The sequence below is a fragment of the Homo sapiens genome, chromosome 12 (assembly GCF_000001405.40).
Source record: "Homo sapiens chromosome 12, GRCh38.p14 Primary Assembly".
NCBI classification, from domain to species: domain Eukaryota; kingdom Metazoa; phylum Chordata; class Mammalia; order Primates; family Hominidae; genus Homo; species Homo sapiens.
The window spans coordinates 21813013-21830407 of NC_000012.12; the positions used below are offsets into that span (position 1 = coordinate 21813013).

Here is a 17395-nt window from a genome sequence, read left to right on the forward strand (position 1 = left end):
TTTATCCTCCTCACTTTATTTCTCTCTATGGGATTTATCAGAATCTGATATTCTACACACTTTTACTTATCTTTTTTTATTGTCTGTTCCCCAACTAGAATACAAGCTCTTTAAAAACCAGGATCTTTGTCATTCACTCCTGTATTGATTTAATAATACAATGCATTACAAATAGAGAAGTAAATTCTGTGATATGACTATCAAGTTTTAATAAATTTCTCCATACTGCATATGGACTTATAGAGGTTTGTGCAGTGTTGATGTTGTTTCTCCACCATGATATATGCAGTTAATCCTATCACTTTTGTGCAGAGACCATATTGCCCTGTGAGATAAGATGTCAGGCTCAGAATGGCAGCTGCAGTCCTTTTACCAGATAGATTTAGAGCAGGCAAGGGTGATTAGCTTAACCTATGTCTTTCAGGAATAATAGATCAGAAATAATAAATTATGAATTAAAATCTTAATAGCCTATGGCTATTAAAAAGAGAATAAATCATTGATAGTTCACATGGGACCTGAAATCATGTGTCTGAACTCATAAGGATCAGGCTAACCTAACATGATCAGTCATAAACATAGTGTTTTAATGAAAAATGTCAGTTGATTTTTGATCACTTAATTGCCTTATAACTTTAATCCCACTGAAAGTCCTTAAAGTATCTGTGCATTATTACTAGCCATGGAAAAAATAAGCTGCTAACTTAGTGACAGAAGTTTACCTTGTTCCTGAATCTGAACCCCAAAAAAACTATATTTACTATAGTTCCATGTTGTTGTTCATAAACTGACCTCTTTATCTCACAGAGCTGTTGTGTAGATTAAATTCAATAATATAAACTGTCAAGTACAATAAACATGCAAAGTACTATAGTCATCGTAATCATTACAGATAATAATAGTAAGCACTCCTTGTACTGTCAAGTACAATAAGTTCGGTCAAATTCATTGCTGGATCCTCTTTCATTCAAGATACTTTATGTGCTGGCCTATTTATAGGCCACTTGATAGACTAAATGTGACTTTTTTTAAAAAAAGATTAAGTTATTTCTACGCTCTTGTGTATCATATTATTAATACTATGGTGGATGAATGTGTATGTTTTGTGTATGTTGTTACCATGAGCTTTATCACTTTGCAGCAAAGGTTGCCTCCTCACAAAACGTTCAATGTCATTAAGCAATGTTATTAAGCAGATGATGGTAAGAGTCATGTACCAAAATTTAAAATGCAGATTACTTACCTCCTTGTACTTTTTTCCTTTGTTGGAAAGAGACATACATTTAGTCTAAAGGAAGCAAGGCAGTTGTCCTCCCTCTTTCTTTCTCTTGAAATTCCACCTCCACCTACTGCTATTCAAAGTGGGTGGCCTTGTTTTCATTTTACAAGTTTATTAAAATGCTTTAGCAATAATGTATAGACATGAGTTTAAGGCTCATCATTTTATTTCCCCAATTCTATGTCTTTTATTTACTTTTGAGCTGTTTATTTGGGATATCTGCCTTGAACCATGTGTAGAGCACAAAGTCCTTATAAATATTTGCTTTTGATTTCTGCAGGATTAGGTAAATTGATGTTTTTTTAAAGGAAAGCACCAAGTGGCCACTTAAAAAATTTAGTTAGCAACTCACCATCAAATATATCAACCATTCTGAAGAAAGCCAGAGATAACGATGATTTCCCACTGCCAGTGCGACCACATATGCCCACCTAGGAAAACAGCTGTCACTCAAAGAGAAGAGGACTCAGAAAAGGACAGAAGATTAGCTTAAGTTTTGTTTTTTAACTTAAGATATTATGATAAAACTGTAATTATGTTTAAATAATTACATTATAGTTATCATTTTTTCTTAGATCTACATTATGAATTATTCTCAAGATAAAAACAGGCTGGGCACAATGGCTCACACCTGTAAACCCAACACTTTGGGAGGCTGAGGCGGGTAGGTCACTTGAGGCCAGGAGTTTGAGACCAGCCTGGGCAATATTGCAAAAACCTGTCTCTACAAAAAATACACAAATTAGCTGGATGTGGTGGTGTGTGCCTGTAGTCCCAGCTACTCAGAAGGCTCAAGTGGGAGGATGGCTGGAGCCCAGGAGGTCGAGGCTGCAGTGAGCCGTGATCACACCACTGCACTCCACCCTTGGTGAAAGAACAAGACCCTGTCTCAAAAAATAAAAAATAAAAATATAAAAACAGTTCTCACCAAATCTTCAATGATTTCATTCTATTTATTTTTATTTTCATGTGATTGCCTTGTTTTTTCTTCATGGTTTTTTTTTTTTTTTGCATTTAGTATATTGTTGGACTAACAAATAATTATTCCATGTTATCTAAGAAGTGATAGTTTTATAACAAAAAGTAGAATGATTCCATTTTCTTCTGCCCACTTGTTCTTTTTACAATAACTAAAAGAAGTCATTTGGGGACTAGAGTTATTATGAATGCAAAGATTCCCAAGGGGATGGCTATTATGGCCAGGAGTCAGAAGACAGAAATTTTTAAAAACATGCCTATTGTTGACTTTTCTGATCTCCATGGGAGACTAGTGAATTACAATATGACTTGGAGAACATGTACTGTAGTCTGATCCTATCTCTCCCTTTTTTCTTTTATGCAGATAATTTGACCTACATCAGGTAGGGAATATACTTACTTGGCTGGGAAGTATGAAGAGCTTAGGTAGTAAAAAAGCAGACTCCCTCAGAGGTTTTATGTATACAACATATCAAATGCAGTGATTTCATACCTTTTGTCCAGGTTTGATGTAAGCCTTGACGTGCTTAAGAACAGGTTTCAGATTATTTTCATATCTGACACACAGATCATGTATCTTGATCTCCCCTTCTTGTGGCCAATGTTCTGGAACTTGAGAAGGATCTGGAGGATGGGATGGGGAAATAGACAGATAATAGGCAGATAGAGATTGATGTAGAAAGAAATGTATACATACTTAAATACATTTATACATATATATATATTTTTCTAAATTTAAAGTAATACTGAACCAAACTATGTGGCAGTTTTTTTTTTTTTTTTTTTTTTTTTTTTTTTTTTTTTTTTTTTTAGTTTAAATCACATTCAAATAAACACCTTTTGATTACGCACTTTTAAGACAGTTTTTTTCGTGTTTGTTTTTGGAGCCTTAACCATCATCATCTCTCCTTAGCATTCCGTCACTCAATTCTATTCAAAGTGGACAGAGATAGTTCATTTCTGAATTGATTTATTTGTTCAGTCAGTTGGTCATTAAACACTTAGGTGCTTTAAATGTGAGAGGTGCTGTACAAGGTGCTGGGAATATGGAGACGAAAGACACAGCTCAAGGTGCTTTCTGTGTCCTTGGGGAATTGTCCAGTAGGTCAGCACCTACAGTACTACATGGAGGCCCCATGATGAAGGCAAACCTACGGTGCTCTGGGAGCATGGATGGTGCTAACCTTGGAGGTCCAGGAGGGCTCCAAGAGGAAACAGTGCCTGAGATGAATTTTAAAGGATGGGAGATGGGGAAATTTATTTTAAATATATGTACATAGGAGAATAAAGAGGAAAAGAAAGCCTAGCATGTTAGTGTGGCCAGAGTAAAAGTGGTGCAGGTGGATGACAAGAAATGAGACATGAAAGATGGGCAAGGGTTGGCTAATGAAGGGGCTCATGGTCTTAGCTAAGTTTTCTGGATTTTGTCCTTGAAGAACTAGATGACTGTTGAAAAATTTAGGTAAAGGAATGCCTTTTAAGCTTGGAGATATGCATTTAATGAAGATTATTCTGTCCTCAGTATTGAATTTCCTGACAGTATTATCCTAGCAAAGTTGGGAATCTCAGTCCGTATTTTAAGATCCAAATTTCTTGACATCTAAGTTAATAACGTCTTGAGAAAGGGAATATAGTAGTTTATAGTTTAGGTCAGCAATTAATGTAATAAATCCCAAATATTTTCTCTTTAAATGTCATTAAATAAATATCTGTTTGGACTCTGGTTTTATCCAAGACTTTTCAGGCCTAAATAGTCACATCTTTTCCGGTGTACATAATCAAGCAAAGCCAAGATATGAGAGAGTTTTCTGGATACTGAAGTGGAAAGCAAAAGCAGAAACAACAATGTGCCCAACAAACACTAATATTTGTTTAAAATAAATATTTAAGTGAGACAAACAATATTTAGAGCAATACCCATTGTGCCTTCATAGTTCTCTGACTCCATAGTCAGGAAACTGTTCACCTTCTTCACTGCACCCATCTGGACCTCCAGGTCAGCCAAGTTCCTCACAACCCAATTCAAATAATTGGTTATCTGTGTCAGGTGATTAAAAAAATTGTTTTAAATAAATTAAAGTAAGAAGTTGTGGTTAATCACCGGAAATTTTGGAACGAGATAACTTGGACCATTAGTGTACATGTGTGATACAACTCATAAGTGCTACAGAATATTAGAGACCAAGGAGAATGTCATGCGATATATCAGCAAAGAAGGTGTCTGGTTCCTTCAAGGGTCCATAACTGTCACTATTTTGTGAACTGTCCTGATTTCCCTGCATGATGGATAGTGGTATACTCTTCTGTTTGCACTTATCTCATGTATATTCACATTCATTGTAGGCTAGTCCCCAGCTGGGTTGTGTACAACTCAGGACACGGATCCCAAACAGCTTGGAGAGTACTCTGACCACAAGATCTGAGAAGTTCTTAAAAATTGGTTCACAATGCTAGAAGTGAATCCAAACTGTCCCATAAAGCTGGGTTTGGGCCCCAATCTACTATTATTTGCAAGATGTAATCTTGTTATGAATTTAAACCTTTCCTCTAACGTCCATGAATAAGAGTTGGTAATAACTGTAGTAGACCCTCCAACACTGCACAAAATGAGATTTTTTTCCCTTTATTTCTTCTAAAAAAAATGGATACATACGCAGAACATGCAGGTTTGTTACATAGGTATACGTGTGCCATGATGGTTTGCTGCACCTATTGACCCACCCTCTAAGTTCCCTCCCCTCACCCCCACCCCCCAATAGGCCCTGGTATGTGTAATTCCCCTCTCTGTGCTCATGTGTTCTCAACATTCAATTCCCATTTATGAGTGAGAACATGCGGTGTTTGGTTATCTGTTCCTGTAATATTTTTATCCATACCTACCGTAAGTGCATACAGAAGACCCAAGCCTACCAATCCAGAATTCGAAGACCCACTAATGGATGCTATAGATGCAGTGAGGACAATGCAAGCTCCCAGATAATCCTTTGAAAAAGCAAGAGAAAATGTTAAAAGGTTACTCCCAAGTTCTTAAACCAAGTTCAATCAATTTACAGAGGTGATCACTAAGAGAATACACATCATTCCATGTGTGTCCTGTTAAGTTTCAGAGGAAGAATACCTAAGATGTAGAAGAATAATAGCTTGCAATATTAGAGCTGGAATGGAGAGTGAGTCCATGCTCTCACTATATATATCTATATCTATATCTATATCTATCTATATATATATCTATATATAACTATATAGATATATATATATGTGTGTGTGTGTGTGTGTGTGTGTGTGTGTGTGTGATATGGGTTCAGAGAAGTTACACATCTTGCCAGAAGTTAAGCTACAATTGGTGGCACAACAAGGATCAGATGTAGGGTTTACTTTTTTTTTTTTTTTTTTTCCGACTTTCTACTGCATTATGTTGCCAGACAAGCAGTTATTTTTGGACCCGGTTTTCTAGCTCAGATTTCATGTGTGCTTATGTCAGGATTATGATTAGCTCCTTTGTGTTGTGTAGTGAGGCCCTTGCAGAAATTTGTCTGTGGTTAACTTGTTGGGATTTGTATTAGGTTGATGCAACAGTAATAGCAAAACCCACAATTACTTTGGCTCCAACCTACTATTTGAACTTTTTGTCAACTACCTGGCTCAGAGTCTGGGACACTAAACCTACAGATTTCATGTAAATAAGAATAAGCACTATGCTTGCTCAGACAATACAAGTATGGACATGTCTTAATGTATTTAAATAGTGTATGATTCAATTATAAACTCTTTTCCAAAATTAAAACAATTCTTTAATAACAGCCATAGATTCAAATAAAAGATGGGAACATCTGTCCATTTCCTAACGCTTTCTTTTTATCTCATTTCCCAGCGTTCTTAGGTATTGTTCTGTCTCATCATTCAAAAAAGAAATTCTAAAAACTTCTCATGTTAATGTGTCACACATCCCCAAAGCAGGTAGAATTTCAGATATGCTCACTTTCTAGAATTATCTCAAGTCTCATTCCACTGATAAACTCCTTCTCTAGATAGATTTGTCTCTGGTGCCTCAAAAAAAATCTCACAACTAGATGATAACACATTAATGACAGTAATGGAATGTTGAACATGCTGAAGTCAAAGAATGAAGATGTTTCTCAAATGACCTCACATGTGTACATTCCTGTCTCTTTTAAAAACAGCTCGAAAGATCAAACTGTTGGAGAACAACCAATGATCCCAGCCTTGGAAACAAAATCTGGGTTCAGACACTGACCTTGCCCGTTACTAGTTAATGAGCTCAGACAAGCAACTTAAAACCCTCTGAGACTCAATTTCTTCCTTGAAAAATAGAAATGATGTTTAATTCACAAGGATTTTTAAAGGAATAAAAATGTTAAATACCAGTTAGATTTCTCCATCTCCACATACCAGAATGTCTTTTTTTTTCCCTTTGGATAATTTTCAGATGTTTAAAGCAAACTTAAAAATGTGTATGCATCATAAAACATCAAAGGTTAAAGCAGGCACTAAAATTTAATTCCATATTGATGCTCATGATCTTTACAAAGATTAAAGGAAAAAAAATCACATAGAGTTAATCCTTTGAGGCAATAAATTCCACAGAGGTAGTAAATACTTTTTTGATTGCCTCTTCTGATGTATCCTTTTGTTAACAACTTGCCACACCCCTACTAGACTGTTCTTTCTCTTTTCCTCTTTATTTGAATTAACTACATGGATGCAGAGAATAACCAGTCTGGGCTGTTCTTCTGCAGTTTATACATGCCAAAGTGCTCCCAAATACTTCTAAAATATTTACAGCAATATGAATTTTTTCCTTTCAGCCAGTTTGTGTAAAGTTAATACTTTCAAATTTATGTTATACATTTGGATTTCCATATTATTTTTTCTAAAAGTCTCATAGAGTTTCTGTAATAAGTTGCAGAAAGTAAATTAGTACCAGAAAATCCTTCCAGCAAGGTATGTCTGGCTTGACATTAAAAAAAATATGTCATCTGGCTTCTGAGAAATTTCTGTGAGTGGTGTATATGTTAAGAGTTTGAGGCAAGGTACTTCTTTCATTAACTTCTATTCTCTACCTCCTGCCAGCTGACTTCATCCATCCATTCATACATTCTTTAAAAAATGTAAGTCAGGTCATATCACTCCCCTGTTTAGAATTAACAGTGCCTTCCTATTATACTTACAATACATTCAAACTCAGATGGGTGACAAAGCCTTATATATATAGCCTATATATATATATAAAACCTTATATATAGGCTCTCATCTATATATATAGCCTTATCCAGACTATATGTCTGGATTTTGTACCCTGTCTACTCTGACCTCATCTGAGATTACTTTCCTGCTCCTTCACTGTACTCCAACCACACTAGCCTTTTTCCTATTCTTGGGAATACATCAACTTTGTTTCTGCCAGTGACTGCCTGAAATGCTTGTCGGTAGGTCTCTGATACCTGGCTCCTTCCCATCATTTGAGGTTCAACTCAAACATCACCTCCTTGGAAAAGTCTTCCTTTCTTGGTTCCTAACTCCAGCCCTGTGGCTCTTCTCTTTCCCATTGTCCTGTTTTATTTTCCTCAAAGCACTCCGAAGTGTATGAAATTATCTTATTTGCTTATTTGTTTACATGGTTATTGTCTATCTACTCTCATTAGAATCTACGTTCCATGAGGACAGGGTCTTTGAATTTTTACCATTATTATCTCCAGCAATAGGAATAATGCTAAATACATTGATTGTAAAGCTTCAGTACTTGTTTGTGGAGTAAATGACTAGATAAATTCACCCCTTCATAAAACATTCACTGAGTTTTTCTATGAGCTGACTATTTTCCAACTTAGGACTTCTCCCGACTTTTCTTTTAGGATTTGTATGAATCATTTAAGTCTCTACCAATCTCATTTCCAGATTTTAAGAGCTGAACATGTAAAGATACTACAAGCATACATTTTTTGATAAAGTGGGAAGTCCAACACCGAGTTTTATAATCTTTTAACTCCCATGTCCATTTAGAACTGTAATATGACTGTCTCTTAAAAAGCTTTGCTATGTTTAAGTGTTATGAGTTATTTCCTTTTCTAAAGTGAAAAGTACTTTTACCTAAGCCATGAATTTCATCATTCAGTTCCAAATTATTATATATATGTATATATTTTACTATTTTAATTGTGGGAAAAAAACTCACAAAATGCTGTTGCTGTGTTTTTTATAAAGAACAGATTTGGACAAAATAGAACAAGGTCATAGCTGACTGAAATATCAAAAATCACTGGGTCTAAATAAATGGAAATTAAACAGTAGGAGTAATATGAATATAAATATAATAAAGGAAATGTAAAACATTATGCAGTCAATTTCTCGCTATTGAGTTTAGTTTACTATGGAAATCTTTGTATTCTATATTGGGCTCCTGAATTCACCCACTGTAAAGAATGACATGGTAGATTTGATTAGAAGATAATTTAAACTATTTTCCATTGAATTAAAATGATAATTCTGGTAACAGGTAGGTAGTCTTATTCTGGCAAAAGGGCCAGCAAAAGAAGTGAAAACAGATGATGGGAGAAAAAGGAGAAGACTCATCAATAAGTTGTAGTCAATATATATTTTCTGGGCCCCTTTCACGTGGTTAATGTTTTCAAAACTACTTGTATAATTTTCAATATGATCACTAGATATTATTAGTTATTAGGCCAGCAATCCAAATATGCTCAAATTCATATATTAAAATGTTTTAGAAATATTATTTTTGACCCGGTCTTCAGCAAAAGAAAGGCATAGCTTTTTGAGGTACATTTTATAGCAAAAATTTTCAGAAGAGGAACTGATTTTCAAAATCTACAATCAACTAAATTCAAATAGATATTATAGCTTGAAAGCCAATATATCTGTAGTTTAGTATGTATAACAAAGTTATTTTATTATAAAAATATTTTTAAACTTTCTTTTTAAAGAAAAAGTCATTCAGGCTGTCTTTTAATTTTACTAACTAGATACTTTCCAGCTCACTGCTGGATTACTACCACTGCTAAAAACTGTTTTTTTTTTTTCTAAAGTACTGGAAATATTTTAGAGACTACTGATCAGAATTTTATCTTGATTTGCATAAGGGATGAAGCTCCTTTGTGTACTACACTTTTCAAAAAATATTCAGCAAAATCACTAAATTTCAATCACTTCTCTTCAAATATTACAGTAGTATAGAAATGTGAAATTAATAGCTAACATAAAAGCTTTTGTGGCCAGGTGCAGTGGCTCATTCCTGTAATCCCAGCACTTTGGGAGGTCAAGGCGGTCAGATCACGAGGTCAGGAGATCGAGACCATCCTGGCTAACACAGTGAAACCCCATCTCTACACAAAAATTAGCTGGGTGTGATGGCAGGCACCTGTAGTCCCAGCTATTCGGGAGGCTGAGGCAGAAGAATCACTTGAACCCGGGAGGCAGAGGTTGCAGTAAGCTGAGATCATGCCACTGCACTCTAGCCTGGGCGACAGAGTGAGACTCCGTCTCAAAAAAAAAAAAAAAAAAAGCTTTTGTTAGGTCTCCGATGTTCACTTCTTTTACTGTTAAACTTAACAAGTTTAATGATTCACAAAGTGACCCTACGGTTACATCTTTCCATTCCTTTGCAAATACGTGAGAAGCAAATGGCTTAGAGGCAATAAACTAAGAAAGGAGAAGCAGATGGTCTGCATAACTTTCACAGAAGACAGCTAATACTTGGGGATCACTAATAGCATTTATTCTACTGCTATAGCCTTACACATCCTAAGCAATCTACTCAGTGAAAACCACCTTCCATCCAAATGATACAATGAAATGGGAGACTCAACTTAGGAAACAGAAGTTACAACACAGATGAATTATCTACATTCAAAAGAGGGCTTTTATCTGTAGAATAGTAAATTACAGCTTCCATCAATTCTGTGAATTCAATACTCCCCACCAGAAGATTCCCATGTCGAAAGAGAGGTCTCTTTTCAGATTTCTAGTGATTCAAAGACATCTATCTATATTTGGAATTATAATGAAAACTGTAATTCTCTATAAGGCAGCCTTGTAAATAGTTAATAGCAACCCAAAAGTATGTGATCCCTCTCCTTCATATAGCACTCAGGAGCACATTATTGTACCACTGGGTATCTGCAAGAATATATTAGGGCCTTCAAATTACGAGATCACTGCATCCCTGTCTGTCGTTGAATTGTGAACACACAAAAAAGCAGTGTTGTCTCACAAAATAGACTCTTGTGCAAGCTCACCCTAAAGACCATTTTCACTTTAGCCTGTTGACTCTAAAGTATTTATTTTTGGCTTCTTCATGTGAATTTTCTTTTATCCTTCCACCACACAGCAAGACAAAGCCTTGGAAAGACAGCCTTTAGATAAAGTTACACCATTTTTGCAACTGAAAACACCAATGCCAAAGAACTGGAATTGTTTAGTCCAAAGGGATGAAGAGAAAAGACTGTGCTGAACGAGAGGACGCAAGCAGCAATCAGAGGTTAGGCTGTAGTGACACATTGCACTCAACCGCGGCCGGCTTCACTTGGCACCCAGAGGAAAAACAGTCCGCTCTGCTGCCAAAGCAAGTCCGGTGGCCAGCCACAGTCTAGCCGCTTTCTACCAGCCAAATTATTTTATTCTTTTAGTCTCTTGTCCTTTTATGATTTGAGTGTGTTATGGCCTTTATTTTTTTCCCAATTCAAAATGAATATGATATGAATATGGTGGGCAAGGCTAGATCTTCCATAGGGAAAACTATCTGTGTAGACAAAGAGGAAAAATCATGATTGTCTTAACTCTTATTTAACATGACTTGGAAAAGAAAAGAAAGCGCTGTATTTTTTTAAAAACATAAACAATTATTTTGAGATACGTTCCATTGATATCTAGTTTTTTGAGCGTTTTTAGCATGAAGGGGTGTTGAATTTTATCGAAGGCCTTTTCTGCATCTATTAAGATAATCATGTGGTTTTTGTCATTGGTTCTGTTGATGTGATGGATTACGTTTATTGATTTGCGTATGTTGAACCAGCTTTGCATCCCAGGGATGATGCCGACTTGATCGTGGTGGATAAGCTTTTTGATGTGTTGCTGGATTCAGTTTGCCAGTATTTTATGGAGGATTTTTGCAATGATGTTCATCAGGGATATTGGTCTGAAATTTTCCTTTTCTGTTGTGTCTCTACTAGGTTTTGGCATCAGGATGATGCTGGCCTCATAAAATGAGTTAGGGAGGAGTCCCTCTTTTTCAATTGTTTGGAATAGTTTCAGAAGGAATGATACCAGCATCTCTTTGTACCTCCAGTAGAATTTGGCTGTGAATCCATCTGGTCCTGGGCTTTTTTTGGTTGGTAGGCTACTAATTATTGCCTCAATTTCAGAACTTGTTATTGGTCTATTCAGGGATTCGACTTCTTCCTAGTTTAGTCTTGGGAGGGTGTGTGTGTCCAGAAATTTATTCATTTCTTCTAGATTTTCTAGTTTATTTGCATAGAGGTGTTTATTGCATTTTCTGATGGTAGTTTGTATTGATGTGGGATTAGTGGTGATATCCCCTTTATCATTTTTTATTGCATGTATTTGATTCTTTTCTCTTTTCTTCTTTATTAGTCTGGCTAGCAGTCAGACTATTTTGTTGATCTTTTTTGTTGATCTTTTTTGTTGATCTATTTTGTTGATCTTTTCAAAAAACCAGCTTCTGGATTCACTGATTTTTTGAAGGGTTTTTCATGTCTCTATCTCAACATATGAAAAAAAGCTCATCATCACTGGTCATTACAGAAATGCAAATCAAAACCACAATGAGATACCATCTTATGCCAGTTAGAATGGCAATCATTAAAAAGTCAGGAAACAACAGATGCTAGAGACGATGTGGAGAAATAGGAACGCTTTTACACTGTTAGTGGGAGGGTAAATTAGTTCAACCATTGTGGAAGACAGTGTGGCCATTCCTCAAGGATCTAGAACCAGAAATACCATTTGACCCAGCAATCCCATTACTGGGTATATACTCAAAGGATTATAAATCATTCTACTATAACGATACATGCACATATATGTTTATTGCAGCACTGCTCACAATAGCAGAGACTTGGAACCAACCCAAATGCCCATCAATGATAGACTGGATAAAGAAAACATGGCACATATACACCATGGAATACTATGCAACCATAAAATAGGATGAGTTTATGTCCTTTGTAGGGACATGGATGAAGCTGGAAACCATCATCCTCAGCAAACTAACACAGGAACAGAAAACCAAACATCGCATGTTCTCACTCATAAGTGGGAGTTAGACAATGAGAACACATGGACACAGGGAGGGGAACATTATACATTGGGATCTGTCCGGGGGTGGGGGGCTAGGGGAGGGATAGCATTAGGAGAAATACCCAATGTGGATCACGGGTTGATGGGTGCAGCAAACCACCATGGCATGCGTATACCTATGTTACAAACATGCATGTTCTGCGTATGTATCCCAGAACTTAAAGTATAATTTAAAAAAAAAGATAAACAAAAATTGGATGAGGTTCGGAGAACGTCCCAAATTCAACAAAAGGCGTTTCTACTCTGGTTTCTCTCTCTTCTTTCTTGAGATTTTCTGTCAATAGCAGTGACATGGCTTTGGAAAGTTAAAACTAGGCATAAAGAGGAAGGGAGGGGAAAGATAGCCACAGAAAGCAATGATATCATGTTTTCTCCCATTTCCATTATGGCTCTGAGTCCATGAATTAGAGTTGGTGAAATCTGTGTGAAGAAATCCTGCTTGCCTCTTCTAATTTATGTCCAATGAAGTGACCTTCTTTATATCATTTTGGTTGCATTCCTGCTCTGGGAACTCTAAGAATATTTGCTAGAAGCAGATATTTATGTGAACTTACTGAGTAATACAACAAAGAGGGGGTTGTGTTGATACCATAGATAAGATCAATGCAGATGTACTGGGCCAATTAGAAATTTTCATTACTTTAAAAAAAAAAAGACTTACAAGGCAGAATACAGAATATATCCAGCTGTGGGGTGTAGAGAACAGTTCACACCCTAGTCTCCAAGGTACTATATCTCAACTTCATTTTTCTCACGCAAGATCCAGTTATTCCAAACTAAAATTCTGTCTCCAGTGATGTGGACATGCCCACAGAAACACAGTAGTAATGAGGTCATTTATATGTGCACAATTGAGAGAAAAGGTTATTTCCCAGGAGAAGTCATTTACCTTATTTAACACTCCTACTGTGGCATATGTTCTTGGATTATAGTATTTATATTTAAATACACCTGGTTCCAATGAAAACTCTCAGTTCACTCAGAAGAGCAGAGCGACAGTGAATCTGACTGGTCTCACAATGGATCTCTGAGATTGTCTAGAGGGGTGTGCATGTGTGCGTGTGTACACGTGTTTATCCATATAAAGTTACTGACATATAAATACAATGGATGGAGGCAAAGCATACACAAAGGACCTTGAACCTTGACTTCTGTCAGCAGATATGCCTGGAACCTTGCAATAAATCAACAAACGTTTCTTGCCAAAATATATCTTTGCCCATCGGAAATGAAAATAAAATACTCCTTAATATTTTGTATTAATTTTTAAGGGAGAGTTCTAGTAATAAGACTAGATTGCAAATCTTGGAAGGATTCTAATACACAGAAAGCAAGGAGAAGACATAGTAACAAATGCATTACAAAGTAACCAAATGAATGGCCTGTTCTGCCCTTCCTGTTTCAGGTGTCAGTATTTTGTTTTTTGCAGGTGGAATTCAAGATACAGAGTCTATTATATTTAGACAGGTTCAACTGCTTTTTCACGTGGGGGTTAAAGTATTGGGTTATGAGACAAACTAAACTAAACAATTTTGAGTTTGGCTGCTGTTCCTTTCTAATTTTTCCTGACCTTCCCTTTCTTGGCAGTCTTAAGGCTCTAATATCTTGTCTTCTGGCTATGAGAACAGAGCATATGGTTTGCTTGAAGATTCTTGTTCAACACTTATCCATTAATCTGACAGCAGGAAGTGCTAAAGAGCAGAAACAGGAGTCGGTCAGACTCTCACCTCAAGTCCAAGGCAAATATGCTTGCCCCTAAAAGACATACTTGATCTTCAAGTTCAGGAAAACCAGATACAAAGGTAACTGCTAACATTTCTCCCTTATGATTTCGGGACATTCTTTCAGTAAGCTATTTCATCAGTAATTATATTATTCATATATGATTTTTTCCCTTATAGAACAACACACACACACACACACACACACACACACACACACACACACACTCACATATCAAAACAAGGAATTAAAGCAAGGAATTATGGAATTATGGTTTGTATAGGGTTTGGGAATAATGTTTTGGTTTTGTGATAAATCCTAAGTAACACTTCACTTGCCTTTATTTATCTATACGTAATTCCCAAGAAACTCTGTCCTGCCTTCTTCCAACTGTCACAGCTACCTGGAGGGAATTTATCAGCAACCAGTACTTCTGTCAAAACTTTGTGAAAAATAACTATGCTGTGCTGTTGAATAATTTCTACATAATGACTAATATAGTTGAGGAGAATCTCTGTAAACCAGTGAGAAATCATGATAATAAAAGCTCACAAGGATGTCCAAGATTCTTGTTTAATCTGTATCCATCAATCAACTACTCAGATTTTAATTTGGGCTCCTTCATTTCTACCCTATTAAATTCCCTTTACCATCTTCCTTCTCTTTTCTGTTGTGTTTTGAAAGAAAGCCTATATGTTAGTGAAACGCAATTAGTGGAAATAAGATTCTCTCAATAGTAGAGATAAACATGCTTTTTCTTTTCAAAACCGGCAAATACCTATTTAAAAAATTACACTCAACTCAACATTACCATCAAAGTAGCTTATCCATGTTCCGGATCGCACAGACTACAAACTATATTCCTTGCCTTCTGGAATGTCTTTCTCATCTCTCCTACTTGATACTCCAGCTCATTGGCTTATGAACCCCCTACCAGGGCAGGTACAATTCATTATTCATTCATGCATGCATTCGAAAGACATTTCTTGAATGCATTTGCCAATCAGTGTAGTAGGGGATTTATGTTACTTTTAATCCAATGCCCATACAAGGTACAAGGTACACATTCTTATTTTACAGATGAGGAACTGGGACTAAAATTAACTTGCTAGACCAAGTCTGTGTGATGCCAAAGCTTGTGCTTGTTCTTCTACATTATGCAAGACAGAAGGCAACAGATGATTAACTGTAGTTTTCTACATTTTGCACTAACATGACCCTCCACTGGCTTAAAACGTAGAAAGTTGCCATCCTTCCAGGCAGGACCAACTCAGTGAAGGAAATGAGTACATCTGTTCACTTGCCAAATGTGCTCTTTTGGAAAAAAAAATTTGAAGTTATACAAATATTTGCCATTCCATTAACTTATGTGATCTAGAAACTAATGAACACAAAATGAATTTTTGCTTTTTGGGCTATTTGTCTTGTCATTAGCTAAAACATTATGACAAACTTCATCTGTAACATAAACAAACCTGAGCTATTTTAAAGTCCAGAAAATGTGAAGCTAGTGCCGAATCTCAGTGGAATACTAATTTTTACAACTGTCTGCCTCTTTGCAGCAGGCGTCTTCTCTATTTGGTTTCCATTTCGAAATCATGAAATGAACGTACCGTCCTGACCTCCAGCCATCTGTTGGCAGCTGAGAGAAATAAGTAGGCAATGTTGTTTGTATCCGTCAGTTCCAGCATACGTTGTTTAAATCTGGTTTCATGCCTGCAGAAAACAAAAACACGATGTTAACCACACAACAGGAGAGGTAATAAGAAACAGTCACACTTATTACTACACTATTTACTCAACACAGTGACAAACTGATGGCATGGAATGATCAGTAAATAGATTTCTTTTTTTTTTTTTTTTTTTTTTTTTTTTCAGATGGAGTCTCGCTCTGTTGCCCAGGCTGGAGTGCAGTGGCGCGATCTCGGCTCACTGCAAGCTCCGCCTCCCGGGCTCACACCATTCTTCTGCCTCAGCCTCCTGAGTAGCTGGGACTACAGGCACCCGCCACCATGCCCGGCTAATTTTTTGTATTTTTAGTAGAGACGAGGTTTCACCGTGTTAGCCAGGATGGTCTCGATCTCCTGACCTTGTGATCCGCCCACCTTGGCCTCCCAAAGTGCTGGGATTACAGGCGTGTGCCACCGCACCCGGCCCAGTAAATAGACTTCTACTTCAAAATAAAGACCAGCTACTACTGCTCTTTGCATTCTTAGTAGAGATGGTGTGGTCAGGTGTTTATTTCCTTTCTTATACCCTTACTAGGAAAAAGAGTCCTTCTAATAACAACATTGTATTAAAGATCAGTTCATAAATTTCCACATAATTATTGTAGCCATGAGAATAAAGCATAGCCTACTACATTAAAAGGGCCTTACAAAATCCAGGATAAATTGTGTAGAAATGCAACTGTACCGATATTTTGTGGCATTTATTTTACTTTTCCAAACAACACAGTTAGAGTTGGGTGGGAAGTGCTGGCACAGAACCAGGGAAGACAGAAAACTATGCATTTGCAATTGGCAAAAATATACTTTTAAAATTATCTTTTTGCCTAATATTTCTGGGAACCAAAGGAAAAAAACTGGGGTGGCAACAAGTAGAGGATGGGGACACTAGAGATGACGGCAAATGCTCTACACCCCCAAATTCTGAAATATTTGTAAGGATGGTCATTGCATAAAAGGAATTTGGTCTGTGTACTTTCAGGGTTCTATGATATATATCGTTTGGATATTGATCTTCAGCAAATTAAGTTAATTCTTGGTGCTCAATAAAATCACACCAAATTCTGTGTAACCTATTTTATAAATAAAACTGTTAGTAAAAGCCCTATCCATTTAAACATCTGAGCCAATATCTCAAAGAAATTCATGTTACATGGTAGAAAAAATCTTCTCTAAATCACAACAATAGTCTCTTTTTATTTCTCAATTATTTTTCCTGAATAACAGAAACATTGGAAGGCTGGATAATATAATAAAAATAACTGGTTTGAAGGTAGGGAAAATACCAAATCAAAATGTGATTTATTCACTCTCTGCAGCCACGGCTTGTCTTATA

General features: G+C 36.4%; 1 protein-coding gene and 1 long non-coding RNA gene across 9 annotated transcripts in view; one reads left to right on the plus strand and one right to left on the minus strand.

Annotated features, from left to right (window-relative positions):
- KCNJ8-AS1 (KCNJ8 antisense RNA 1) overlaps positions 1-16249 on the plus strand; it is a 166949-nt gene extending 150700 nt beyond the window's left edge. Inside the window, exons 3-5 of the long non-coding RNA XR_007063241.1 lie at positions 14198-14412; positions 15895-16091; positions 16211-16249. This is a non-coding gene — a long non-coding RNA (KCNJ8 antisense RNA 1). The remainder of the gene's footprint in view (positions 1-14197; positions 14413-15894; positions 16092-16210) is intronic.
- Positions 1-17395, minus strand: part of ABCC9 (ATP binding cassette subfamily C member 9) — a 144038-nt gene that overhangs the window by 15624 nt on the left and 111019 nt on the right. For all 8 annotated transcript variants that reach the window (XM_005253288.5, NM_001377274.1, XM_005253290.5 and 5 more), the window contains 5 exons: positions 15946-16048; positions 5138-5239; positions 4175-4295; positions 2751-2881; positions 1632-1710 (listed from right to left, as the gene is read on the minus strand). In XM_005253288.5, the coding sequence (XP_005253345.1) occupies positions 1632-1710; positions 2751-2881; positions 4175-4295; positions 5138-5239; positions 15946-16048 (536 nt within the window). The remainder of the gene's footprint in view (positions 1-1631; positions 1711-2750; positions 2882-4174; positions 4296-5137; positions 5240-15945; positions 16049-17395) is intronic.